Raw genomic sequence first — 2944 nt, 5'->3', positions numbered from 1 at the left:
TGTTCATTGAAATTATAAAATACATAAATAAATATTGACTAATAGCACCCCAAGTTTTTCTATAAAATTTGTTTATATAACCAGTTTCTACATTCACAAATAAATGTGTTATTTTAATAGAAGCTAGAGGTATATTATGTTCACTGATACTGTAAAAATAATACCTCATAAAAAAATGGGTCAACAGATTTTTTGAAAAGAGTATGATCAGATATACTTTATATATGTCATTGCTAAATATTATATTATTTTTAAGTTACATTTTTAAATCAAAATGCTGAATACATATCAGGTGTGCTAAGCAACTATTAGTTGATATTTTAAAGTGGAAATAGGCACTACTTAGTAATTCAGAAATTAAAGTTGGTGTTGGTTTTAACAAAAGAGGTGACAGAACTAGGGAAGCTGATAGCATAACTCTCAATCCAAGGCTGAAAGCTTCAGGACTGAGGAAGCCACTAGTGTAAGCCTTAGAGTCCAAAGGCTGGTGATCACGGAGTTCTTCAGTCCGAGGTAGGAGAGGTAAAGTCTGTCCCAACACTTGGAGAGAGACTAATTTGCCTTCTGTATTCATTGTATCTGGGCCCCTGGCTGATCTGATGCTGTTCCTCACCATTGAGGACAGATGTTCCTCATCTAGTCCACTCAGACTCACACTAATCTGGAAACACCCTCAGAAATTCGCTCAAAATAATGCTTTACCAGGTTTCTAGATTTCTGATATGGTTTGGCTCTGTGTCCCCACCCAAATCTCATCTCAAATTGTAATACCCATGTTTCAAGAGAGGGATCTGGTGGAAGGTGACTGAATCATGGAAACAGATTTCCCTGATGCTGTTCTCATGATAGTGAGTGAGTTCTCATGAGATCTGATTGTTTAAAAGTGTGTGGCATTATCTCCCCTGCTCTCTCTTTCTCCTGGCACCATGTAAGACGTGCCTTGCTTAGCCTTTGGCTTTTGCCATGATTGTAAGTTTCCTGAGGCCTTCTCAGCCATGCCATAATGAGTCAATTAAACCTGTTTTCTTTAAAAATTACCCAGTATCAGGTAGTTTTTTTATAGCAGTGTGAAAATGTACTAATACAGTATTCTATAATCCAGTCAAATTGACACCTAATATTCAGTCCACGAGTCTATTCTTTGTCAACTTGGCACCCATATGTACTTCCTTAAACCTTACTTAATTTCAAAATAAAGGCAATAACAAGGTAAAAGTTCTATCTAACACAATGCAACTAATATGATGCAACCATCTTGCGTACAACCAAAAACACACTAACACATTTTTTAGAATCCAGCTTTAAGGGTTTCAACATTTGAGATTTCAATCTTTTAGAATTGTGACTTACAGAATTTTAAAAGTTAGAGATTTTGGACCTCAGAGATTCTGAATTTAAGGGCTTCTAGAATTTCAATATTTATGATTATGGCATTTGGGATTGTGTCTTTTAGGATTATCATCCATATCAGAGAGAAAGCTATATGTGGGGTGAAGCGGACAAATTAGGCAGAGGGAAGAACATATTTGAAAACATGAAATGGGGAGTCGCTTCCAAGATGGCCGAATAGGAACAGCTCCAGTCTGCAGCTCCCAGCGAGATCGAAACAGAAGACAGGTGATTTCTGCATTTCCAACTGAGCTTTGAAGAGAGCAGTGGTTCTCTAAGTGATTCTTCAAGGATCTAGAACTAGAAGTACCATTTGACCCAGTGATCCCATTACTGGATATATACCCAAAGGATTATAAATCATGCTACCATAAAGACACATGCACACGTATGTTTATTGTGGCACTATTCACAATTACAAAGACTTGGAACCAACCCAAATGTCCATCAATGATACACTGGACTAAGAAAATGTGGCACATATACATCATGGAATACTATGCAGCCATAAAAAAGGATGAGTTCATGTCCTTTGCAGGGACATGGATGAAGCTGGAAACCATCATTCTCAGCAAACTATCACAAGGACAGAAAACCAAACACTGCATGTTCACACTCATAAGTGGGAGTTGAACAACAAGAGCACATGGACACAGGGCAGGAAACATCACACACCGGGGCCTGTCAGGGGATGAGAGGTTGGAGGGGGATAGCATTATGAGAAATACCTAATGTAAATGACTAGTTGATGGGTGCAGCAAACCAACATGGCACATGTATACATATGTAACAAACCTGCACATTGTGCACATGTACCCTAGAACTTAAAGTATAATGTAAAAAAAAAAAATGAAATGGCATTATACATTTTGAAAATGATGTTATGTATACCATGACATGTATATATAATATATATATATGTGTATGGCACAAGAAATGTAATAATCTATTATTCCAAAGAAATATTCAGTGTTTATACTTTGAAAGAATTTACATTTTATATTAAGGAATTTGCACTTTTATATTTATCCTTTCACCTATGGAAAGCCAGTAGTGGCATTATTGGACACAGAGGAAATGGGAAAAATGAATAAATGATCAAATTTGCTTTTGTAAAAAGTTAACACTCCTGACAGTGTGAAAAATGGACATGTGTGTAAACAGATTGGTAGCAAAAGAGCAGTTAGCAAGTTTCCAATGGGAAATGATATGAGAAAGAGCTAACATAAGGATTAGTGGGTTGGAAAGAAGAGAAGAAATAGTGGAAATAGTTCTAAGGTACTAAATTTAAAGACTGAAAACTTATATGTTGATATCAGTATGCCATATACTAAAAATGTTACTAAAGATGAAATGTATAACATAAAGTTAAAATAAATGTAAAATTTTAAAAAAGAGGATAATATTAGGAGAATACAGAGCAAGATGGCTAAATGGAACCCTCCAGCAATAATCACTTCTGCAGGACCATTGAATTGAACAACTATGCAAACAAGGAAGCACCTTCATAAGAACCAAAAATCAAGCGATCAATCACAGTAGCTGGTTTGAACAT

Source organism: Homo sapiens, chromosome 2, assembly GCF_000001405.40.
Source record: "Homo sapiens chromosome 2, GRCh38.p14 Primary Assembly".
NCBI classification, from domain to species: Eukaryota; Metazoa; Chordata; class Mammalia; order Primates; family Hominidae; genus Homo; species Homo sapiens.
The sequence above is the reverse complement of the archived record's forward strand: the minus strand, read 5'-3'. Positions refer to the sequence as shown.